Raw genomic sequence first — 23,823 nt, 5'->3', positions numbered from 1 at the left:
CAAGATCGCGCCACTGCACTCCAGCCTGGGCAACAGAGTGAGCTAGATTCCATCTCAAAAAAAAAAAAAAAAAAAAATCCTGGGCATGCTAGTGGAATTGTGATTATCTGAGAGTATGTCCTTGTTCCTGGGAGATGCACACTGAAGTATTTAGGGATGAAGAATCTAAATGTCTACCACTTACTCTTAACTGGTTTAGGGAAAAAAAAATTGATGTCAAAAAAAGGGCAAATGTAAAATGTTAATGATCAGTAAATCTGGATGAAGAATAGAAGAGTTTCATGCAACTTTCCTGCAGGTTTGAAATTTTTCAAAATGAAACATTTGAGGAAATAATAATAAAAAAATCTAAACAAAATGTTTTTTTAAAAGCAAAACCACAAAAAAGAAACTGGGCACAGTGGCTCATGCCTATAACCCCAGCACTTTGGGAGGCGAAGGCAGGAGGATGGCTCGAGGCCAGGAGTTTGAGACCAGCCTGGGCAACATGGCGAGACTTCCTCCACCCCCATGCCCCATATGTCTCTACAAAAAAAAAAAATTAGCTGGGCATGGTGGCATGTGCCGTCCCAGCTACTTGGGAGGCTGAAGTGGTGGGAGGATTGCTTGAGCCCAGGAGGTTGAGGCTGTATGAGCTATGATCATGCCACTTCACTCCAGCCTGGGAGACAGAGTGAGACCTTGTCTAAAAAAATAACAATAATATAAAAAAGAAGGCACTTGGAATAATGACTGGCAAATAGTAAGTGCTCTATAACTATTAGCTATTATGATAGTAATAATGATTATTATCTTATGTGTTTACAGTTTATTATCTGTCTCTCCATACCAGGCTGTAAGCTTCTTGTAAACCCCTTCATTCCTAGCATGGTGTACAGTGGGTGCCTAATTGTAGACAGTGCTCTGAAGGAGATTTCCATGGTATTATGGAGGTGTGTGACAGAGGGACCAGTTTGATCCAAGGGGTAGTCAAGGAAGGTTTCCTGGAGGTGGGGACACTTGAGTCGAAGCCTGAAGAACATTTGGCAGTTAACTGGGCAGAAGAGAGGGGATGGGATAGAGATAGAACATTCCAGGCTGAAGGAAGTCTCCTGTGCAAAGCTCCTGAGATAGGAAGATGTTTGAGGCACTTGAAGATAGCTGATGTGGCTGTAGTTGGGGGTGCAGGGGAGAGAGGGATTGGGGAAAGGAGAGAAGTCCACACAGAGCCGCGAAGACCATACTGGATTCTCATCATGGTCTGGAGGGCAGGACCCAGGGGTCAGCAAGCCCTGCAGCTTCTACAGATTCCCACTATGGCACCCATTACCCTCTATGATGGCCCGTCTCCCGTCCAGCCCCATCCTCACACCCTGGAGTAACTGATGTCATTGACGTGCCACATGACCTTCAACCCATGGCTTATTCACAGCCTTCCAACCAACTTTAGTATCACTCTGGGATGCCCTTTCTCCATCTTGACCAGCTGGGTGCATGCCCAGTTCTTTTGGAAGACTCAGCCAAGCAATCATGTCTCCCCTGTTTTATGATGTTGCCCCGATTCCATCCTGTTACTGTCTCCTGCAAATGTAAGTACTGATCGCGTCTTCTCTCCTATGCCATTCTTCCTGGTGAAAACCCCTCTCAAAGCATTGCATGAGGAATTATTTGCAAATTCATCTGATTGTTCACTAGATTAAGAGCTCTCTCTCTCTCTCTCTCTCTATATATATATATATATTTTTTTTTTTTTTTTGAAACCGGGTCTTGCTCTGTCATCCAGGCTTGAGTGCAGTGGTGCGATCACAGCTCACAGCAGCCTTGATCTCCTGGGCTTGAGTGACCCTCCTGCTTCAATCTCCCAAGTAGCTACAACTATAGGCACGTGCCACCATGCCTGGCTAATTTTTTAATTTTTTTGTGGAAATGGAGTCTCACTTTGTTGCCCAGGCTGGTCTCAAACTCCTGGCTTCATGTGATCCTCCCACCTTGGCCTCTCAAAGTGCTGGGATTATAGGTGTGAGCCACCATGCCCAGCCACTGGATTGAGAGCTTTCTGAGGGCAGAACCTGGTTTTATGCTGAGTACGGTTCTTGCTCAGATGCTCAGTAAATATCTATTGACCAACCAAATGGGACTTAACTATGCTACCCTGGACAAAAGAGGTACTTACATAGGAGAATGCAACACAACCCCTGTTCACATAGACTTGGTTAAGTGAATGGGAAATAGCCATGAAATTTAGCAGTTTTTTCACTCATTCATTCAACACATTCACTGAGGCTCTCACACTTCTAATTTAATAGTTCTCAGATATTCTGGTGCTAAGACCCCTTTATATTTTTTAAAAACACTGAAGACCTCAAAGAGCTTTTGTCTATGTGGTTTAAATTTGTCTATATTTACAAATTTAGAAATATTAGAAATATTTAGAAATAGAAACGGAGACATATTTAAAACATAATGGCCAGGCACGGTAGCTCACGCCTGTAATCCCAACACTTTGGGAGGCCAAGGTGGGCAGATCACGAGGTCAGGAGTTGAAGACCAGCCTGGCCAACATGGCGAAAGCCTGTCTCCACTAAAAATACACAAATCAGCTGGGCATGGTGGCGTGTGCCTGTAATCCCAGCTACTCGGGAGGCTGAGGCAGGAGAATTGCTTGAACCGTGACCTGGGAGGTGGAGGTTGCAGTGAGCTAAGATCGTGCCACTACATTCCAGCCTGGGCTACAGGGTGAGACTCTGTCTGAAAAACAAAATGAAACAAAACAAAAAAAAAACCCATAATACACAAGCACATATTCATGAGCCACCAGAGTGATGACCTCCTCGCAGGCGATGCAGCCTCTGGAAAACTCCACTGTATACTCATGAAAGAACCAGAGTGAAAAGGCCAATAATGTCTTAGTATTATTATATAAATGGTTTTGACCTCACAGACCCCCTGAAAGGAACCCCCAGGGGTACCCTGGCCACACTTTGGGAACCACTGTTCTAAATGCTTAGTCAACATCTGCCCTGCCCTCTAGGTGGTAAACGCCATGAGGGCAGCCATGTTGTTATCGTACTCCTACTGTCCAGCCCTGAGCTGGTACAGAGTAGGGGCTCTGTCAATGGAGAGGACAAATGAATGGGAATGCAGATGACAAATGACCAAACAGGAAAGTCTGGCGATACTAGGGTGATGAAGGACTGGTCCCTGCCCTCCGGGAGCTCACAATCCCTTCCTCAGAGAAATGGGAGGACAGAATCTGGTGTCAAATGAAAAGGTTCAAAAAACCAGGTTTACCCCAGGGCCCAGCTGAGGAGTTCACGGCTGTGGACTGCCTCCAGCATGTGGAGAAAGGGATGAACGTCTACAGAGGAAGGGGGAGGAAGAAGGAGCCCTTTCTCAGCTGGGAAGGATAGGATCGGGTGGATTGATGGGCAGTGGGGAAGGCAGGTGGCCCTGGATTGTTTTTTTGTTTGTTTGTTTCTTGGGGTTTTTTTTTTTTTTTTTTTTTTTGAGACACAGTCACACTCTATCACCTGGGCTGGAGTGCAGTGGTGTGATTAAGGCTCACTGCAGCCTCGACCTTTTGGGGCTCGAGTGATCCTCCCACCTCAGCCTCCTGAGTAGCTCGACTACAGGCAGGCACCATGGCACCCAGCTAATTTTTGTATTTTTTGTAGAGTTGGGGTCTTGCTATGTTGGCCAGGCTGGTCTCAAACTCCTGGGCTCAAGGGATCCAATCGCCTCAGCCTCCCAAAATGCTGGGATTACAGGTGCAAGCCACTGTGCCCAGCTGGCCTTGGATTGTTAACTGCCCCCTGGTCGTGCCTCCCGAAGCACAGAATTGGGGTTAAACCAGTCACCTCACCCTCACCCCAAATTCTATCCAGGTCTTGCCCAAAGATCCAGAGCAGGCAGGTGGGGCTTGGGACAAGAGCCTACAATCACAAGAGCCAGCCCCAATGTGAGAGAAGAGGCTTTGAGTGGGAGAGGGGCATTTCTGGACCTAGCACTTGGTGTTCAGCGTGAGCCGAGAAAGCAGGAAGCAGCCAGGCCTGGGTCCAGGTGGATGAATGCAGGTGAGGAGGAGAACAGGCAGTTATGAGCCACTACCCCTTATAAAGTATAAACACGCCGGGCACAGTGGCTCACACCTGTAATTCCAAAACTTTGGGAAGCCAAGGTGGGTGGATCACTTGAGGCCAGGAGTTTGTGACTAGCCTGGCTAACATGGCGAAACCCCGTCCCTACTAAAAATGCAAAAATTAGCTGGGCATGGTGGTGGGTGCCTGTAATCCAAGCTATTCGGGAGGCTGAGGCAGGAGAATCGCTTGAACTCGGGAGGCAGAGGTTGCAGTGAGCCAAGACCATGCCACTGCACTCTAGCCTGGGTGACAGAGGGAGACTCTGTCTCAAACAAACAAACAAACAAACAAATAAATAAATAAAATAAAGTAGGAACATGATACCAGGCCCTGCCAATGTTCTTTATGTGCATAATTGCACCCCAGTCTCATAACAGCAAACAGACAGGTCAGTGAGACTCAAGAGAGGGGGAGCTGTGCGCCCAAGGTACACAGCTGCTAAGTGGCAGGGTTGGAATCCAACCTCGGGCATGTGAGAGGCAGATTTCCATTATGGCCCCCAGTATCCCCTTCTCCTGGTGTTCATAGCCTCATGCATCCCCTTCCCTTAAGTAAGGGTGGCGCCTAGTGACCTGCTTCCAACAAGGAGGATACAGTGAAGGTGATGGGGTGTCCCTTCTGGGATTAGGTTACAAAAGACTGTGACTTCCAGAACTCAGGGTATCTACTGGCCACAAGAGCCAGTGAGGAACTGAGGCCTCCAATTTCACAGCCCATTAGGAACGGAATCCTACCAGCAACCACACGGCGGAGCTTGGATGCAGCTCCTCCCCAAGTTGAGCCAGGAGAGGACCACAGCCCTGGTAATACCTTGACTGCAGCCTGTAAGAGGCCCTGTGGCAGAGGACACAGCTAAGTTGTACCTGGATCCTCCCTCTCTCTCTCTCTCTCTCTCTCTCTCTATATATATATTTATATATATATTTATATATATATATTTTTATATATATATTTATATATATATATTTTTATATATATTTATATATATATTTATATATATATTTTTATATATATTTATATATATATTTATATATATATATTTTTATATATATATTTATATATATATTTATATATATATATTTATATATATATATTTATATTTATATATTTTTTGAGACAGAATCTTGCTCTGTCACCCAGGCTAGAGTGCAGTGGCATGACCTTGGCTCACTGGAACCTCTGCCTCCCAGGTTCCAGTGACTCTCCTGCCCTAGACTCCCGAGTAGCTGGGACTACAGGTGTGTGCCACCATGCCAGGCTAATTTTTGTATTTTTAGTAGAGACCGGGCTTCACCATGTTGGCCAGGCTGGTCTCGAACTCCTGACCTCAGGTGATCCGCCTGCCTCACCCTCCCAAAGTGCTGGGATTACAGGTGTGAGCCACCATGCCCAGTCATTTTATTTTTTTGAGACAGGGTCTCCCTCTGTCACCCAGGCTATGGTGTAGTGGTGCAATCTCGGCTCACTGCAGCCTCCGCCTCTTGGGCTCAGGCAATCCTCTCACCTCAGCATTCTGAGTAGCTGGGACCACAGGCGTGCACCACCACACTTGGCTAATTTTTGTATTTTTTGTAGAGATGGGGGTCTCGCTATGTTGCTTAGGCTGGTCTTGAACTTCTGGCCTCAAGCAATCTGCCCACCTTGGCCTCCCAAAGTGTTGGGATTATAGGCATGAGCTACCATGCCTGGCCTGTGCCTGGATTCTTGACCCGTAAAAACTGTGAGATAATAAACATTTGTTGCTTTAAGCTGCTGAGTTTTGGGGTAACTTGTTATACAGCAATTGATAACTGATACTAAAAGCATCTGACTTTGTAGTGAAAACCCTTACTCATTATAGGGAATCTGGGAAAGGATGTTTGAAGCATTTAATTACGAAAAATGACATTACTGAAAATGTGGCTACTACCAGACAGGACACACACACACACACACACAGACACATACCCCTAACCTCAGATCCTCTTTAATCACACAAACCAGGCCAGCCAAGTCCAGACTTAGAATTAAACACTAATACTGAATATCGGTATAATACACTATGATTTTCAAAACCCATATACAGCCCTATACATCATCTCATATGACTCTTAAAAAAGTCCTACAAGCTGCCCAGCAGCTTGTCAATCTTGGGTGACAGATGACATGGAGGGTCAGGGTCACAATGAAATGCATTGCTCAGGGTTACAGAGTTAGTGCCTAGGATATTGTTGGTGCTCAATAAGCCCTCAAAGCATAGATGACTGGATGGAGGAGTCAGAGGTAGGTGTCAAGAACTCTGATTCCAGCTTAGCCATTCATTCATTCCGAGGAGGCAACGTGCACAGGCCTGGCTGGACACAGCAGAGACTATTCCCAGGAATTTCTGGAAAAAGTGCTCTGATCTTGTAATGCAGCCCTGGGGGCATCTCAAAGCCTGAGACCAAGCCTTGTGGAATGGGCATGGCCAATGGCATCAGAGGCTCTGGATTTGAATCCTGGTTCTGTGACTGAGGAACAACGGGACCTCAGGCAAGTCCATCCCTTTGTTTTTCTGAGCCTGATTCTTTGTCTCTATTAAATAGGGTAACTACTTCCCGCCCGAAGTGTCTGTGAAGATGGGGACAGATAAGGTCAAGTATGAAGAACTTGTAAGCACGAAATCAACAGGAGTCACCATTCTCTTGCCCTCTTGCCTTCATATCATAAAACATGCAAAAAACCAAACTCATAGTGACCAAGAATTGGAGGACAGTTCATTCTCTAAATGCACTCTTACTCTTCTCTTTGGCAAAGGATTTCTTTAAATGAACCAAGCTTCTCACTTTGTGTTCAAAATGCCCTTTCCCTGGCTCCCTGTAGCCTGTCAGAGGGCACACCATAAATACTTGCAGAGTGCCTAACTGGGCAAGTGTGCTCCTGAGCAGAGTGTTCTAACCTCAGGACATGCTCAGTGTCTGCCCAACCAGCTTCAATTAACAATCTGCTTCCTGAGCCCTAGCTCAGGGGGTAGTGGGTGGAGTGGGAGTGACATATTGAGCTTAAAGGGGAGACAAGGTGTGGCTTTAGCCTAGTGGGCCCCTCCGCCCCTCCCTCCCTCCCTCCCTTCCTTCCTTCCTTCCACCTATCCATTCACCCACCCACCCATCTATATACCCACCCATCTGTCCATTCATTTGCTCACCCACACTGTCACTCACCCACTTATACCTCTATCTACCCACCTTTACACTCACCCATCCACTCCTCCACTTGGACACCATTCCATCCATCCGTCCATCTGTCCATCCATCCTATTTACCCACTCATCTGTCCATCCATTTGCCCATCCATACAGTCACTCACCCCCTTATACCTCTGTCCACCTACCGTTCACTCACCCACCAACTTCTCCACCTGTCCATCATTCACTTCCATTCATCCATCCATCCATCCATCCATCCATCCATCCATCCACCCACCCACCCATCCCATCCATCCATCCATCCATCCACCCACCCAACCATCCTATTAATCTAAACATTCCATCCAACCATCCCATCCATCCTTCCTTCTGTCCATCCATCCCTCCATCCATCCATCCATCCAATATTTACTGAGACAGTACTGTGGCTCTGCTGCTAAACAAGACAGACATGGTATCTGCTCTCATGTTGCTTGTGATTCACCAGGAGGCAGACAGACCTTGCCCATCTAATTACCAAATGAACTACCTAGTTAACAATTGGAATAAGTGCTAAGTAGGAAAAACACAGGCATCTATGAGACCATATAGCCAGGGACGTGACTAGTCTGGAGAAGCAGAGTCAGGAAAGACTTTATGGAGGAAGCAACATCGCAACCAAGTCATTCATTCATTTGTTCATTCATTCAATGCTTTTAGGAATCAGCATGACCCATTTACCTATGTGAATCATCTCTGCCTTTCCAGGCCTAGCTCACAGCAACAGAGCAAGACTAAAATGTGTGCCTGGCCTGGTCATATGTACAGTCTTCAACCAGCACTGGGTACAGCTGTTACTCCTAGATCTGGGACAATGGGTGTCTTGTCTGACTCCTCCCAAGAATTTCTAATCCAGTTGCACATAGTGGTATCAGGAGAAGAATGGAGGAGAGACAAACAGACTGAGGCTTAGAGAGCTTGTCAGACTTTCACCTTGACATCATGTTCAAATTGTCCCTGCTACCAAGAAGGAACTACAGATGGCTCTGAAGCATATGAAAAGATGCTCAACCACGCTCATAATTAGGGAAATGCAAATTAAAACTGCACTGAGATACCGTTTGTCACCTGTCAGATTGGCAAAGCTCAAAAGAGGCTTGGTAACGCTGTGTGTTGGTGAGGGAAGAAGCAAGCGGCTGTGTCATACTGCATACTAACAGCCTAAGTGGATACATTCTTTACAGAGGGCAGTTTAGCAATAACTGTCAAAACTGTGTGCCTTCTGACCCAGTAATTCTTCCACTAGAAATTTATCCTACCAAGAGCTCATGTGTGTGTGAAATGGGATGCATGCCCATAAGAGCTAATATTTATTGAACCCTGACCACGTGCCAGGAGCAGTTCTAAATGCTTCCCTTGAATTAACCTTTAATCAACACGATGGGCCCAGGTTGGTGCAATTGATCTCCCCATTCTGGATCATTCATGACAGCCTTATTTGTAATAACAAAAGATTATCAGCTACTAAATGCCTATCAATAGAAGAATGGTTAAACAAACTGGTCTATTCATAAAATGGCACATTATGCAGCTATAAAATAGGATAAGGAGCAATCTCTAAGATAGAGTTTTAAGTTAAAAAGGAAGGTGCAGAAAACAGCATAGGTAGAATGTACTATAACTTATGTTTTTTTTTAAAAAAATATGTTTGTGTGTGTATAAATATATACACACATATACATACATATGGTGACAGGCCTCCTTTTTATATCTTTCAAAGATTTTTTTTAAAGTAAACTTTTTATTTTGGAATAATTTAAGGCTTACAGAAAAGTTGCAAAGATAGAACAGAAAATCCCAGTACACCCCTCACTGGGTTTCAGTTTCCCCTAATGTCATCATCTTGCATTACCGTGGTACATTTGTCAAAGCTAAGAAACCCACGTTGATATGTTACTATTAACTCAACTCCAGACTCTATTTGGATTTCATCAAACCTGTTTTCTACTAATGTCCCTTCTCTGTTCTGGGATCCAACCCAGGTCCCAGACTGTGTTTAGTCATCATGTCTCTTTAGTCTTCTTTTTGAATGTTGATTCATGCAAATATATTATCCATTTAAAAAGAAATACAATTGAACATGAAAAACAACCTCCCCCTTCCAAATCTCCAAACAGCAATAACAACAGCAACAAAAATGCTTGTCGATGTTAAAAAGGAACCCACCTTCTATCCCCCTACCCGTAAGCCTTTCCATGCCTTTTAGTCTCCAGGCTATGCCTCCTCCAAAAACCCTTCCCAACCTGGAACTCATCGCTCTCTGCCTCAGTCCCCCGAGACACTGCATGAATCTCTCTTACACGGCACTTATCACTGCCTGCCTTGCTTCACAGTTATTTATGTAAGTGTCTGTCTCCCGGCAGAGACTGTGAGCTTCCAGAGGAGGGGACGGGATCTGTGGGCCCTCTGCCTCTCCTTCCTGGGTCAGATAGGATGCTTTGACCCCAATACACATTTGCTGAATTGACACCTAGTCCCTGATGTCAGGAGGAGGAGGAGGGATGCATTTAGGGATTTAAAAGGAACCGGCCAGCACTTACGACTGTGGGCTGGTGACCCACGACTAATAAAAACAAATGGTAATAATAATTATACAGATGACAATGATAATTCTAGCAACTTCTATGGTTGAATAATTGAAATTTAGTTCTTTCCATGGATGATCTACTTTAATCATAATAATAGCCCTATGAAGTAGCTGTTATTATTATGTCCTTTTTTTTTTCTTTGAGATGTAGTCTTGCTCTGTTGCCCAGGCTGGAGTGCAGTGGCATGACCTCGGCTCACTGCAACCTCTGCCTCCCGCGTTCAAGCAATTCTCCTGCCTCAGCTTCCAGAGTAGCTGGGACTAGAGGTGTGTGCCACCATGCCTGGCTAATTTTTGTATTTTTTTTTTAGTAGAGACAGGGTTTCACCATGTTGGCCCAGCTGGTCTCGAACTCCTGACCTCAGGTGATCTGCCTGCCTCGGCCTTCCAAAATGCTGGGATTACAGGTGTGAGCCACTGTGCCTGGCCACTATTATGTCCATTTTAGACATGAGAAAAACCAAGGCTCAGAGAGAGAGTGACTGACCCACAGGGGGTCAAGAATGCTGCTGAAATTCACATGCAGGATATTTTGATGTTACACCATACGGAATTTGGCATTCTACATCTTACTAAGGAAACCAAGCCTCAGAGAGGTGAAATAACGTGCCCAAGTCCACCCAGCTACTAAGAGGCAGAGGTGAGATTGGAACCCAGGTCTGGCTGACTCCGGTCTTAACCGGATTGCCCCCCAGAGACCCATGCCAGAGACCCGAGGACTGCCCATGGGGAAGGGTCCTACTCTCCCCCAGCCTTGGTCTCCAATGGTCCCGCCTGAGCCCTGCTCACCTGGCACAGGAGAATCAGAGGCTCTCGGAACTCGGCCTGACAGATGGCGCAGATGTCACCAGCTTCTGTGCACTGCTGCCCGGTGGCTCGGACTCCATAGTTCTTTGAGGGAGGGGAGAAGCAAATACAGCTATGGGCGCCCTTGGGAACTACGCCCTCAGGAGCACTGTGAGATCTGTGGGCTGAGGAAGGGGTCGCTGCTGTTTCCAGTTCCTGATTCTCAGGACCCTGGTGGGGACCACCTGAAGCCAACTCACCTGAGAGGTACAGAGAAGCTTCAGGGCTTTCCTAACTCCGCCCACACGTCCACAGATGTCGAAGGACTGAAAGGAGAGCAGGGTGGTGGCTGAAATGTACCCAAGGATCACTCGTGACCCCTGCACAATCACCCCACCCCATCCTCTGACCCTCCACCCATTTTTGACTCAGAACATTTTTAGGGCTCCTCTTCTCATTTGCACTTCTTCCTTCCCAACAGTGTTGCATGGCTTTTGTCTTGTTGCCTAATATCAAGAGTTTCCCCTGCTACCTAGGCCAGAATAGCAAATATATGGCATGCATAGTGCCTATTTCCCTTCCCAAGCCCACAGCAGGCATTGATAATCGATCACAGCACTCTTCCTCTGAGCCCAGCCCACCCTGATAACCCTTCTCCATCTAGCACTCCAGTCAGCCACTGTGTTGATCAGAACCAGCAAGTAATCAGTATGCCCCAATGGCTGATACTACATGGATTGCCTTGCCAGTCCTGCTGGAAGGAAGGAAAGAGAAGAACTCATGCATCCTCCCAGGATTCTCTAAAGCCAGAAATGGAGAACCAAAGAGAAAGAGAAGGATGTATGGATTTTTAGAGGGTAAAAAAACCTCTGATTTGTACTAATGATGAAAAGAAAAGCACTACATACTAATTTGAGGAGTTGAGGGTGTGCAATTTAACACGGATACTATTTTTGAGGTAAGAGAGATAGAAAACATTCAGTAGAAGTGTGGTTGGGAGCTTATGGCTTTAGAGGCAGCCTGCCTGGGTTCAATGCTTATTCTGTTGTCTTTACCTGAGTGACCTTGGGCAAGTAACCTCAGTTTCTAACCTCCCTGAACCTCAGTTTCTTAACCTGTAAAATGGGAATAATGGGGGCCAGGTGGGGTGGCTCATGCCTGTAATCCCAGCACTTTGGGAGGCTGAGGCAGGTGGATCACTTGAGGTCAGGAGTTTGAGACCAGCCTGGCCAACATGGTAAAACACCATCTCTACTAAAAATACAAAAATTAGCCAGGTATAGTGGTGAATGCCTGTAATCCCAGCTACTAGAGAGGCTGAGACATGAGAATCGCTTGAACCCGGGAGGCGGAGGTTGCAATGAGCCAAGATTGCACCACTCCACTCCAGCCTGGGCAACAGAGCGAGACTCGGTCTAAAAAAAAAAAAAAAAAAGGAGTAATAATAGTATGTACCTTGAAGGGTTTGTGAAGATGACTATTGGAAAGAATATCATATGGTGAGCTTCATAGGTGAGAAATTAGGGTAGATTAAACCATAAAAAATACTGATACATGTTACAATGTGGATGAACCTCAAAAATACAATGTTAAATGAAAGTGCCAGACACAAAAGGGCACCTATTACATGATTCCATTTATATGAAACATTCATAATAAGTATATTCATAGAGACAGAAAAAGCAGATTTGTGGTTGCCAAGGACTGGGGGAAGGGGAGGTTGGAAGAATGGGGAGTGACTGCTTAATGGGTATTTCTTTTCAGGGTGATGAAAATGTCTTGGAACTAGACAGAGGTGGTGGTGGTTGTGTGACATTGTGAATCCGCTCAATGCCATTTAATTATACACTTTAAAATAGTTACTGGAGGCCGGGCGTGGTGGCTCATGCCTGTAATCCCAGCACTTTGGGAGGCAGAGGTGGGCAGATCACTTGAGGTCAGGAGTTCAAAACCAGCCTGGCCAACATGGTGAAACCCTGTCTCTACTAAATATACAAAAAATTAGCTGGGTATAGTGGTGGATGCCTGTAGTCCCAGCTATTCTGGAGGCTGAGGCAAGAGAGTCACTTGAACCCAGGAGTGGAGGTTGCAGTGAGCCGAGACTGCGCTACCGAACTCCAGCCTGGGAGACAGAGTGAGACTCTATCTCAAAAATAAATAAATAAAATAAAATAAAAATAAAACAGTTAGTGGTTAATTTCATGTCGTATGAATTTTCCCTCAATTAAAATAAATAAATAAATAAATCAGCATGGGTATTCTAGGTTGCCCAGGAGCCCCCTGAGGCCTGACTAGTGAATGGGGCCCTCCTTAGGCCGGCCCTCCAGCCTTGGGGCCACCTCACCTTGCAGAGGCTGTAGAGAACGATCAGGACCCCGCCCAGGAAGTAGCTGTTGGAGGAGTCGTCACCCATGATGTATTTGTACCACAGCTGGATGGGGACAAGGGATCGGAACAGCTGGCTCAGCTCCTCGATGACCAGATAGAACTTTCCCTGCAACCACACAGAGAACATCAATTATTATTAGCAGTAAAGACCCAAAGGACCCAGCTGGGGGGCCCCCCGCCCCGGGCAGTGATGACATTCTAGGTCACAGGCAGGCCATTAATCAGCTCTGGAAAGCACTCAGGCCAGCTCCTAATGGGGCTGCGATATGGCCAGGGAGACGCGGCCCCTGCCCACTGCCCTCACCCGCCACCCAGCAGCCCAGAAGACCAAAGTGCCCAGGATTGAGGATCGAGTTTCAGGGTAGGAGAAACCCTACACCTTTGGGCAGAGGGCTGGAGAGTGGGTCACCCTCTGGGTCTCGCTGTGGCTTGGAAGGCTCAAAGCCCAAGGTGGGGGCACAGTCCCTGCCCTCCGCATCCAGGCCATCCTCATCTTTAGAGGGCTGACTCGAGCATCACAGGCGACTGCTCTCAGGGGCCTGGGCAGGATGGGCACAGAATGCAGGTAAGGCCAGGCAATAAGGCCCAAAGCGGGGAGATACGTGTCCTTCCTAGCTCCACCACCTGCTCTCTTCCAAGGAGGCAGGATGAATACCTAGTTGTGTTGAGAAAGAACAGGGGCCGGGTGTGGTGGCTCATGCCTGTAATCCCAGCACTTTGGGAGGCCCAGGCAGGTGGATCACTTAAGGTCAGGAGTTCAAGACCAGCCTGGCCAACATGGCGAACCCCCAACTCTACTAAAAATACAAAAATTAGCTGAGCGTGGTGGCGCACCTGTAATCCCAGCTACTCGGAGGCTACTCAAGCGAGGCAGGAGAATTGCTTGAACTTGGGAGGCAGAGTTGCAGTTAGCCAAGATATCACACCACTGTACCACTGTATTTCAGCCTGGGCAACAGAGCAAGACTCCATCTCAAAAAAAAAAAAAAAAAAAAAAAAGAACACGACTTGGGTACTCACACTGGGCTGGGATTGAACCTGACCTTGCTGGATGTTCATGACCCTTAGTTTCCCCATCTACAGAATGGGAATCAGAATTCCCACCTTACGGGGTTGCTTTGAGGATTAAAGGAGATGAACAGGATAAGCACCTAGCATTATTCCTGGAGAAAAATCCTATTTCTCTTCCTCCCCTTGACCTTGGACAAGTCCCTGAAGCTTTCTGTGGCCTGTGTTGTAAAATGGAGATGAAAATACACCCACTCTGTAGTGTCTAATAAAGTTGAATACATACCTACTTTATGACCCAGAAATTCCAGTCTGAGCTATTTACCCGAGAGAAATGAAAACATATGTCCACATGTATGCCAATGTCCTTAGTGGCTTTATTCATAAAATCCCCAAACTGGAAGCAGCCCAGACGCCCATCAATGGAAGAACGGATAAACAAATGATGGCGTATTTATACAACAGGATACTGTCCAGCAATAAGTATACATGAATGCCTGAGATTCGCGATGACATGGGTGAATGTCACAAACATTATGTCGAATCAAAGAAGACAGTCATGGAAGAATATTTGTTGTATAATTCTGGTTTATACTAAGTCCTAGAATAGGTAACACTAATCTGAGATAATAGAAATCAGATCCCTGGTCGTCTGGGGTGAGAGGTGGGGAGAACTGACTGCAAGGAGGTGTCAGGAAATTTTGGAAAGGGATAGAAAGATATATATATATATATATATATTTTTTTTTTTTTTTTTTTGAGACAAGGTCTTGCTATGTTGCCCAGGCTGGAGTGCAGTTGTGCGACTATGGCTCACTGCAGCCTCGACTTCCCAGGTTCAAGCAATCCTTCCACCTCAGCCTCCCAAGTAAATGGGATCACGGGTACACACCACCACGCCTGGCTAATTTTTTTGTATTTTTAGTAGAGACAGGATTTCACCATGTTGCCCAGGCTGGTCTCAAACTCCTGGGCTCAAGCAATCTGCCCCTTGTCAGCCTCCTGAAGTGTTGGAATTACTGGTGTGAGCTGCTGCACCTGGCCTAGAAATATGAAATATTTTATATCTTGATTGGGATGGGGGATACATGGGTGCGCACGTTTGCCAAAACTCATTGAAATATACACTCCTAACATGTGCAGTTTACTGTATTTAAATCCTGCTTCTATAAAGCTGATAAAATCAAACAAACAACACTGCCCCAAGCATCCATATCTGTAAAAATATGTATAATCTTTACTCTAACAATTCTATGTCTGGCAATTTACCCTAACAAAATAATCAGAGATAGGTGCAAAGATGTGCCTATAGGAATGGTCACTACAGCATTCTTTGTAATACTAAAAAAAAAAAAGTAAAAAACACAATGTACAAAAAAGAGGGTCTGATTATGTTAGAGATCTATAATGGAAAGCCATACAGCCATTAAAAATGTACCCTGAAGAAATAGCAACTTTATGGTGAAGAAAGGAAACATACATCATATTAATCAGGTGATCAAGGTTAACATCCCCAGTGAGAAGTCATTTTGACATCCTGAACCCTCTGACATGATGTCCTGAAAAGACACAGTATCACTTCTGTGGTATTCTCACCAAAACTCAGCAATAAATTCTAATCTAATCATGAGAAAACAAGAGACATATCCAAGTTGAAGGATATTATCTCTCTCTCTCTCTTTTTTTTTTTTGTAGAGAGACGAGGTCATGCTGTGTTGTCCAGGCTGGTCTCAAACTCCTGGGCTCAAGGGATCCTCCTACCTCAGGCTCCCAAAGTGCTGGGATTATAGGCATGAGCCATTGCACCTGGCCCCAAGTTGAAGGGGCCCAACACTCTTCAAAAATGTCAAGATCATGAAAGACAAAGGGAAGACCAAGGAGTGTGAGGTTGGAGAGAATTAAGGAGACGTGACAAATAATGTAACATGGGATCTTGGTTTCAATCCTATACTCTCTTTCTCTCTCTCTCTTTTTTTTTTTTTGAGACGGAGTCTTGCTCTTTCACCCAGGCAGGGTGGAGTGCAGTGGCACAATCTCAGCTCGCTGCAACCTCTGCCTCTTGGGTTCAAGCAATTCTCCTGTCTCAGGCTCTCAAGTAACTGGGATTACACACCACCATGCCCGGCTAATTTTTGTATTTTTAGTAGAGATGGGGTTTCACCATGTTGGCCAGGCTGGTCTCATATTCCTGACCACAGGTGATCCACCTACTTCACTTCAGCCTCCCAAAGTGCTAAAATTACAGGTGTGAGCGACCGCGCCCAGCCCTGATTCAATCCTATACTAGCAAAAAATGTCAATAGGCCAGGTGCAATGGCTGACACCTGTACTCCCAACACTTTGGGAGGCTAAGGTGGGAGGATCCCTTGAGCCCAGGAGTTCAAGACCAGCCTGGGCAATAGAGCAAGATCTTGTGTCTACAAAAAATTAAAAGATTATCTGGGAGTGGTGGTGAGTTCCTGTGGTCCCAGCTACTTGAGAGGCTGAGGTGGGAGAATTGCTTGAGCCCAGAAGTTCGAGGCTGCAGTGAGCTATGATTGTGCCACTGCACTCCAGCCTGGGTGACAGAGTAAGACCCTGTCTCGAAAACAAAAAAACAACAATAAAAATTGAAAAACAAAATAATGTCAATGGGGCAACTGGCAAAATGTGAATGAGGTCTTTAGGTTAGTAGTAACAGTATTGATGTTCATTTCCTGCCCTTGCTAATTGGACTCTGGTATATCAGATATCAACATTAGGGGAAGAGGAATGAAGGGTATATGGGAACTCGCAGCATTACTTTTGCAACTTTTCTTTAAGTCTAAAATTATCTCAAAATTAAAAGTTAAAAAAGAAATCATCCTGATGAAAGATATCATTTGACCCAAGCAAATGCTCATATTATTGTTCCAAATGGAAATAATAGAGAATGCAAAAAAAAAAAATCCTCATTCTCTTTGTGTTTTTATGCTCTCTCCAGATTTTTTATACTGAGCATGTGATATGTTTAAATTAGAGGGGAAATGAGTCTGGGCATGGTGGCTCACACCTGTAATCCCAGCACTTTGGGAGGCCAAGGTGGACAGATCTCTTGAGGCCAGGAGTTCAAGACCAGCCTGGCCAACATGGTGAAACCCTGTCTCTACCAAAAATACAAAAAAATAGCCGGGTATGGTGGCACGTGCCTATAATCCCAGCTACATGAGAATCACTTGAACCCAGGAGGTGGAGGTTGAAGTGAGCCAAGATTACATCGTATGCGTGGCATGTGGACAGAGATTTATAGCCAACTTTTATATTCCATCTTGATGGGCTGGGCACATGTCACTCAGAAGAGGATTCCTTGGAGCACGTACACCCACATCTACCAAGGACCAAGAAAGGGCATCCAATCATCACTCACCCCCTGCCTGATTTTTGTGACTAGTTCGCCACCTCCAGTTGTGAGGCCATTGTTTCCCAAAGGGCCCTCCTTTCCCCTCCTGACTCCCACCAGTCCCTGAGCCCCAGAAACATCCCCTGGAGGGAAATGCTGGTTTCCCTCTGGAACTTTTGGGAAGATGGGGGGTGACTGGAGTACAGAGATGTAGGGGGTGGCCGTCATGTTTGTTTTACATGGACAAGGGCATGATGGATGCTGGACCAATGGACAGCAACTTAGTGTATGGCCAGGGCTAACCAAGCCTGTCCATATCCTGCTGCAGACCCCAAGATCTGCAGAATATCCATGATTTGAACTTTCATTCCCTGAACCACCCACCCTCAGCTGCCCCATGCCTCCCTCATGTCTCCCAAATTGCTCTCACCCATGGTCTCTCAACTCTTGCATATTCCATCTTACCCTGGACTAAACTGTCCAACCTCTCTCAACTGCGAGTCTTGACCTGCAGTTTTTTTTTTTTCCACTTAAAACATTGTGTGTTTTAGAGATGGGGTCTATCTATGTTGCCCAGGCTGGTCTCCATCTCTTGGGCTCAAGTGATCCTCCTGCCAGCTTGGCTTCCTGAGTCCCCTGTAGGGACTACAGATGTGAGCCACCATGCCTGGCCTTAACCTGCTTTTGTCACTCTTCCCTACATTCAGTGCACCCCTAGATCACTCTTGTTTCCTTCCTTCCTTACCTTTCTTTCTTCCACCCATCTGTATTTCCTTTCTTCCTTCCCTCCCTTCCTGCCTTTTATCCATTGATGCTGCCTTCCTTCCCTTTCCTCTGCCCCTCCCTCCCTCTCTTCCTTGCCCACTCCCTTTCTTCTTCCCTCCCATCCTTGCTTCCATTTCTGGACACCTACTATGCACCAGACACAATGCCAGGTTCTGGAGGTACTAAGATAACTAAGACCTCATCCCTTCATCAGGAAGCTTGCTACCCAATGAGGAAGACCATCACTAAGCAAACTACTATAATACAGTGTGGTAGAACTCTGCTAGAGGTGAATGTGAGTGGGCCCCAGAATTGAGGCATGGGATGTGGAGGGGAAACTGATCAACAAAGTCTAAGAGAAGTTATCTTTCCAGCCACCCAAAGTGTGAGCCATGAACCAGCACCATCAGCATCGCCTGGGAGCTGGTTAGAAATGCAGGCTCTTAGGCCTCACCCCAGACCTCCTGAAATAGAATCTACAATTTAATAAGGTCCCCAGGTGACCCGAGTGCACATCCAAGTTTGAGAAGCACTACTTTAATGGATGAATAAGAGCCAAGCTGGTGAAGAAATGAGGGCAGGTAAGGGAGGAAGGGTGTTCCAGAGCCAAGAGGTGAAGGAAAAGATGGTCACTGGTCTGAGCGCCATCTTGGTGGGCAGCCTCCTGCTTCGTCTGCCTGGTCTCATGACAGGTAAGGACACGGCTACCCCATGAAACGTCCCTGTGTCTCTGGGAGCCCCTGCCTGCTGGCATCTGGCTGACTCTGGTCCCCTCTCTCTGTTCTTCCTTGCAGGCCAGTCTCAACAACCAGTCTGGCTTGGTGGTCAAGAGCACAGCCCCAGGAACCAAAGAGGCTGGGATCAGACCTAGGATTGTCACTTGCCACCTTAGGTTTAGTTTTGGTCACTGTCTTTGGATCTTCCAATTCTCAGGCCCCTGAGCTGCAGGCTGGTTTCTGGGCCAAATCCCAAACTTCCCACTTGCTATTGGGCAGCTCTAGAACAAGTGTTGGCAAACTTTTTCTACAAATAACCAGGTAGTGAGTACTTAGCCTTTGCAGGCCATACGGTCTGTGGCACCACTACTCACCTCTGTCACTACAGTAGGAAAATAGCTGTGGACAATAGGTAAGTGAATGGGTGTGGCTGTGTTCCAATAAAACTTTATTTATAAAAACAAGTGGCAGGACGTATTTGGCCTGTAGCCTGTAGTTTTCTGACCTGTGGTCTGTTCTATCAGAATCTAGATAAGTCACGATGGGGATTCTAACACATCCCCAGGATTTCCCAGAAGGCTCTAATACCAGCTTCTTTCCCTGTCTTTCGGTTGCTTAAGGACACCAAGCTCTTCCTTTGCAGATGGAATAGTGGTCCCTCTACTCTTTGCTGAGCTAACATCTATTCATCTTTTGGGTCTCAGCTAACTGTCACCGCCTATGAAAAGCCTTCCCTGACTTTTTAATTGAATCAGGTGCTCCTGTTATGTACACCTTTGAAGACTCCCCTAAATCACTCCTTTCTTTCTTTCTTTCTTTTTTTTTTTTTTTGAGATGGAGTCTCACCCTGTTGCCTAGGCTGGAGTGCAGTGGCATGATCTCGGCTCACTGCAGCCTCCGCCTCCTGGATTCAAACGATTCTCCTGCCTCAGCCTCCTGAGTAGCTGGGATTACAGGCACCTGCTGCCAGACCCAGCTAATTTTTTGTATTTTAGTAGAGACAGGGTTTCACCATGTTGCCCAGGCTGGTCTCGAACTCCTGAGTCAGGTGATCCACCCGCCTCGGCCTCCCAAAGTGCTGTTTACAGGTATGATTCACCACACCCAGCCCCTAAATCACTCCTTCAAAGCATTTTTCACAATATTAAAAAATTATTTTTACTATCCATCCCTCCCACTGGACTGTAAGCCCCTTACGGGAGAAGATAATTTGACTCTGGGTATATTCCCAGCATCTAGCATGTAGTAGGTGCTCATGTAACAAAGGAGGACCTCTTGAAGCTGAAGATTCCATCCTTATTACTCAAGTCAACTTCCTACAGTTTGCTGATGGAGGAGAGTTGAAACGCTGAAGAGAGAATATCTCTTTATAAGCAAGCACTGATGTCACAGCAAATAAATTTAGGAGAGTGAGAGCCTATGTGGCACCCCGTTAAAGGTAGCAATTAGCTGCCGGGGGTGGGCCACTTTGAAAAGGAGATCAAACCACCAAGGAAAACTGGGCATATCCCAGCAAAACCATCTCTCCCTAATTAAGCAGTTTTATAATTCCAGGTTTCTTAAGCATGTTATTTCTGACGACCACCAAATGGGATGTGTGGTTTCTCTGGGGCTTCAGAGAACAAGGAATACGATCAGATTATGAGCTGTCTCGCCTCCCTGCCACCGTGAAGGGGAAACGGTAGCAATTGTTGCAGGACGTGCTTGGGCATGGACGGTTCTCTGCTTGGATTCAGATAAAGGGGGTGGGAGTGTCAAGTTGGGAAGGCGGATTCTATTCCGACTTCCTCACTGCCAAGATGAGGGGTGGGACAATAAGAGAAATGGGAAACATCGAAACAACAGAGGGCTGGCTCCAGAAGCGGGTGGGAAATGAAGGAGAGTAGGATGCTGAGAAGCAGAAGAAATGAACAGAGAGGAGAATTTTTTGGAAGAACGCACCTACATGGGAAAGATGATTTGAAGACTTGTGGGGGTGGGGAGGAAGGGAGGAGAGGCATAATCAAGTATCTGTCAGCAGCTTCAATGTATGAAAAATGCACAGACAGAGATGAAACCTTTTTTTTTCTGTATCAAGATGAATAATATTTATACAGCTTTGCCTGTTTACGAATCTCTTTTATACACATTTTTTCATCTGTGGAGGCAGGACAGCCTAGTGGTTTAAAGGCGTGGGATTTGGGATTCTAAGGTCACATCTATCACCTATTAAATTGGTTGATTTGGCACAATAATTCAACCTCTATGACCCTCAGTTTCTTCATCTGTAAATGGGGTTGAATACACACATACATACACACATACATATAGATATGCATGCAGTGCTGTGCTGGAAAACTAGGTCTCTGGGGGAAAGAAAAGGCCCTGATTTGTGTGTTTGCCAATTTCTGTGGTATAAATGTTCCCACAAGGCCAGCTTCAAGCTACCAATGATTTAACAACTGTTTGCAAATTTCATGAAAATGTAACCATTGGCTCTCACATGTCAGTAAAACCTGTATTCAACACACCAAGGTGATCTTATGGATTAAATAAGCCAATAAATCTAAAACACAGGTACATAAGAAGGGCCCAGTACATGATACAGCTAGTACTGGCCCTCATGATAATCCAGAAATGTGGCCATTATGTTACTGCTGCCTTATTTTAGAGATGAGAAAATGCAGGTTCAAATGAACTAAGGTGAACTAGAATTAAGGCAAAAGTGATATCTGGGACTTCCAAGCCTAGGCCTTAAGAGATCAGACAGCTTTCACTTCCTTCCTTTTGCTTGTTCTCCCTCCTCCAGCCACCATGTTTGTGGGAAGCCCAAGCTATAAGGAGAGTCCCAGTGAAGAGGACATGTGGAAGGGGAGCAGCTCTGAGACTAATTGGAGGAGAAACATGAAAACCAGCCAACGGTGAGAACTGAGGCCCCAGATACAGGACCTTAAGAAGGCCATTCCTGCCATTGCAGCTGACGCATCAGACCTGGGAGTGAAGATGCCATCTTGGACAGTCCAGCCCCAGCAGATATCATGGGGAGGAGAGACAAGCTGTACCCGGTGTGTCCTGACTGAACTCCTGACCTGCAAAATTGTGAGAATTAAATGGTTTTTTCAAGTCAACAACAACAACAACAAAAACTAAAGTACCATCTAAGGCTACTCAGCTGGTGCTATAGACTGAACTGTGCCCACCTCAAGTTCCTTTGTTGAAGCCCTAATCCCTAATGTCATGGTATTTAAAGATAAGGCCTCTGAAAGGTAATTAGATCATGAGAGTAGAGCTCTCATGATGGGATTGGTTCCCTTATAGGAAGAGACATGAGAGATCTCTCTGCCACTTGAGGACACAGTGAGAAGACAACCTTCTGCAAGCCAGGAAGAGGGTCTTCACCATGAACACAATTATAAGCATCATGTAGAAACTTCAGAGAAGCTTTCACCTTATTCTTCCCCACTTTCTCTATCCTACTGTCTGGAACTTGGATGTGATGGCTGGTGCTCTTGCTACCATCTTGGACCATGAGGGGGAATCCCACACCCTAGAGCTGGTGAAGCAGTGGGCTGGAAGGTGTCATACTCCCAGGCTCGGGCTGCTTATCTTTGGCCTTTACATGAGAAAGAGATACATTTTTTAAATTTAAGTCTTATTATTTTGGATTCTTTGCTGTTACTATTTGATTCCAATCCTAACTAATAGAAAGCGTTTGGGACTCAGTAGGTGACCAAGAAATATTTGCTGAATGAGTAATGGACAAATGAGGGGGCAAAGTAAATGGCCTTGTGCTTTGAAACAGCTGGGTTTCCCATAGGCATGGCTCATAGAGAGCTCTAATGCTGAAGATACTAGGAATGGGAGTCTATACATAACAAATGTTCTAGAAAATGATGAGGGTAGGAGTGAGACGGGGAGGGTTGGCCAGTGACTGCCATGTTGGGCACAGAAATACCATGGGAAAGACCTGGGAAAGAAACGTGGCCCTGGGTGCAGATCCTAGCTCTGCCTCTTCAGAGATGAGGCCCTGGATTCTGAGCAAGCACAATGGCAAAGAGCATGGACTTGGGAGTCAGATGACCTGAATTTGAATTCTGATTCTGTCTCTTCCTGAGTTACCTGGGGCAAGTCACTTCATCCTTTTGTGCCTCAGTTTCCTCGCTAGTAAAATGGGGCTAATGGTAGCCCCTGGCTCCTAGGGTTGTTGGGAGGATGAATGAGCAAATGTGTGTAAAGCATTGAGTTCAGTGCCTGGCGCATGGTAAGTGCTCAATAAATGTTAGCTGCAGCACTGTTAGCAGCCTGGAAATATGAAAAAATAAATTAAGTCTGGTCAAAGAGGATGGCAGTGGACCAGGAAAGCAGAAGAATTATTATTATTATTTTTTTTAGACAGAGTCTTGCTGTTTACCCAGGCTGGAGTGCAGTGGTGCAATTTCGGCTCACTGCAACCACCGCCTTCCGGGTTCAAGCAATTCTCCTGCCTCAGCCACCAGAGTAGCTGGGATTATAGGTATGCGCCACGGCGCCCAGCTCATTTTCATATTTTTAGTAGAGACAGGGTTTTGCCACATTGGCCAGGCTGGTCTCAAACTCCTGACCTCAAGCGATCCACACACTTCGGCCTCCTAAAGTGCTGGGATTACAGGTGTGAGCTACCACGCTTGGCCTGATTTTTATATGTCACCATTTATAACATGAAAACAGGGTTAAAGTGTGGCATTTGAAGTCAGGTAGCTAGGTGCGCATCCTCTGTATCTGTGTGACTTTGGGCAAGCTGCTCTCCCTCTCTGGGCCTCAGTGTTCTGTGTGATGGGGGTGTTGACCCAGCTCCGCCATTCTGGGCCTCTATGCACTGTTAAAACAACTACTGGTGTCACTTTAGGCTATAAGTGACAGCTAACATGAAGTAGCTT

The 23,823-nt window shown here is 46.0% G+C and overlaps 1 protein-coding gene across 6 annotated transcripts in view, besides 1 other annotated feature; it reads right to left on the bottom strand.

Moving 5' to 3' along the window:
• Positions 1-23,823, bottom strand: part of RNFT2 (ring finger protein, transmembrane 2) — a 115,317-nt gene that overhangs the window by 6,653 nt on the left and 84,841 nt on the right. For 4 of the 6 annotated variants that reach the window (NM_001382266.1, NM_001109903.2, XM_047429745.1 and 1 more), the window contains exons 8-10: positions 13,038-13,187; positions 10,954-11,019; positions 10,697-10,798 (exon numbers count right to left, since the gene is read on the bottom strand). In NM_001382266.1, coding sequence (NP_001369195.1) covers positions 10,697-10,798; positions 10,954-11,019; positions 13,038-13,187 — 318 coding nt within the window. Of the gene's footprint in view, positions 1-2,359; positions 2,728-10,696; positions 10,799-10,953; positions 11,020-13,037; positions 13,188-21,898; positions 21,997-23,823 lie in introns of those variants that run through there. The other 2 variants (XM_047429746.1, XM_047429747.1) reach the window with 2 other exon arrangements.
• Positions 8,006-8,202: a silencer, noted in NCBI's record as "fragment chr12:117276582-117276778 (GRCh37/hg19 assembly coordinates)". NCBI's record gives its function as "represses an EF-1alpha promoter that drives an FKBP-Casp9 reporter gene in an ReSE screen in HepG2 liver carcinoma cells {active_cell/tissue: HepG2}" and the evidence as "EXISTENCE:reporter gene assay evidence [ECO:0000049][PMID:32094911]".

This window comes from Homo sapiens, chromosome 12 (genome assembly GCF_000001405.40).
Source record: "Homo sapiens chromosome 12, GRCh38.p14 Primary Assembly".
Taxonomy (NCBI): domain Eukaryota; kingdom Metazoa; phylum Chordata; class Mammalia; order Primates; family Hominidae; genus Homo; species Homo sapiens.
This window is presented reverse-complemented; position numbering and strand designations above follow the sequence as displayed.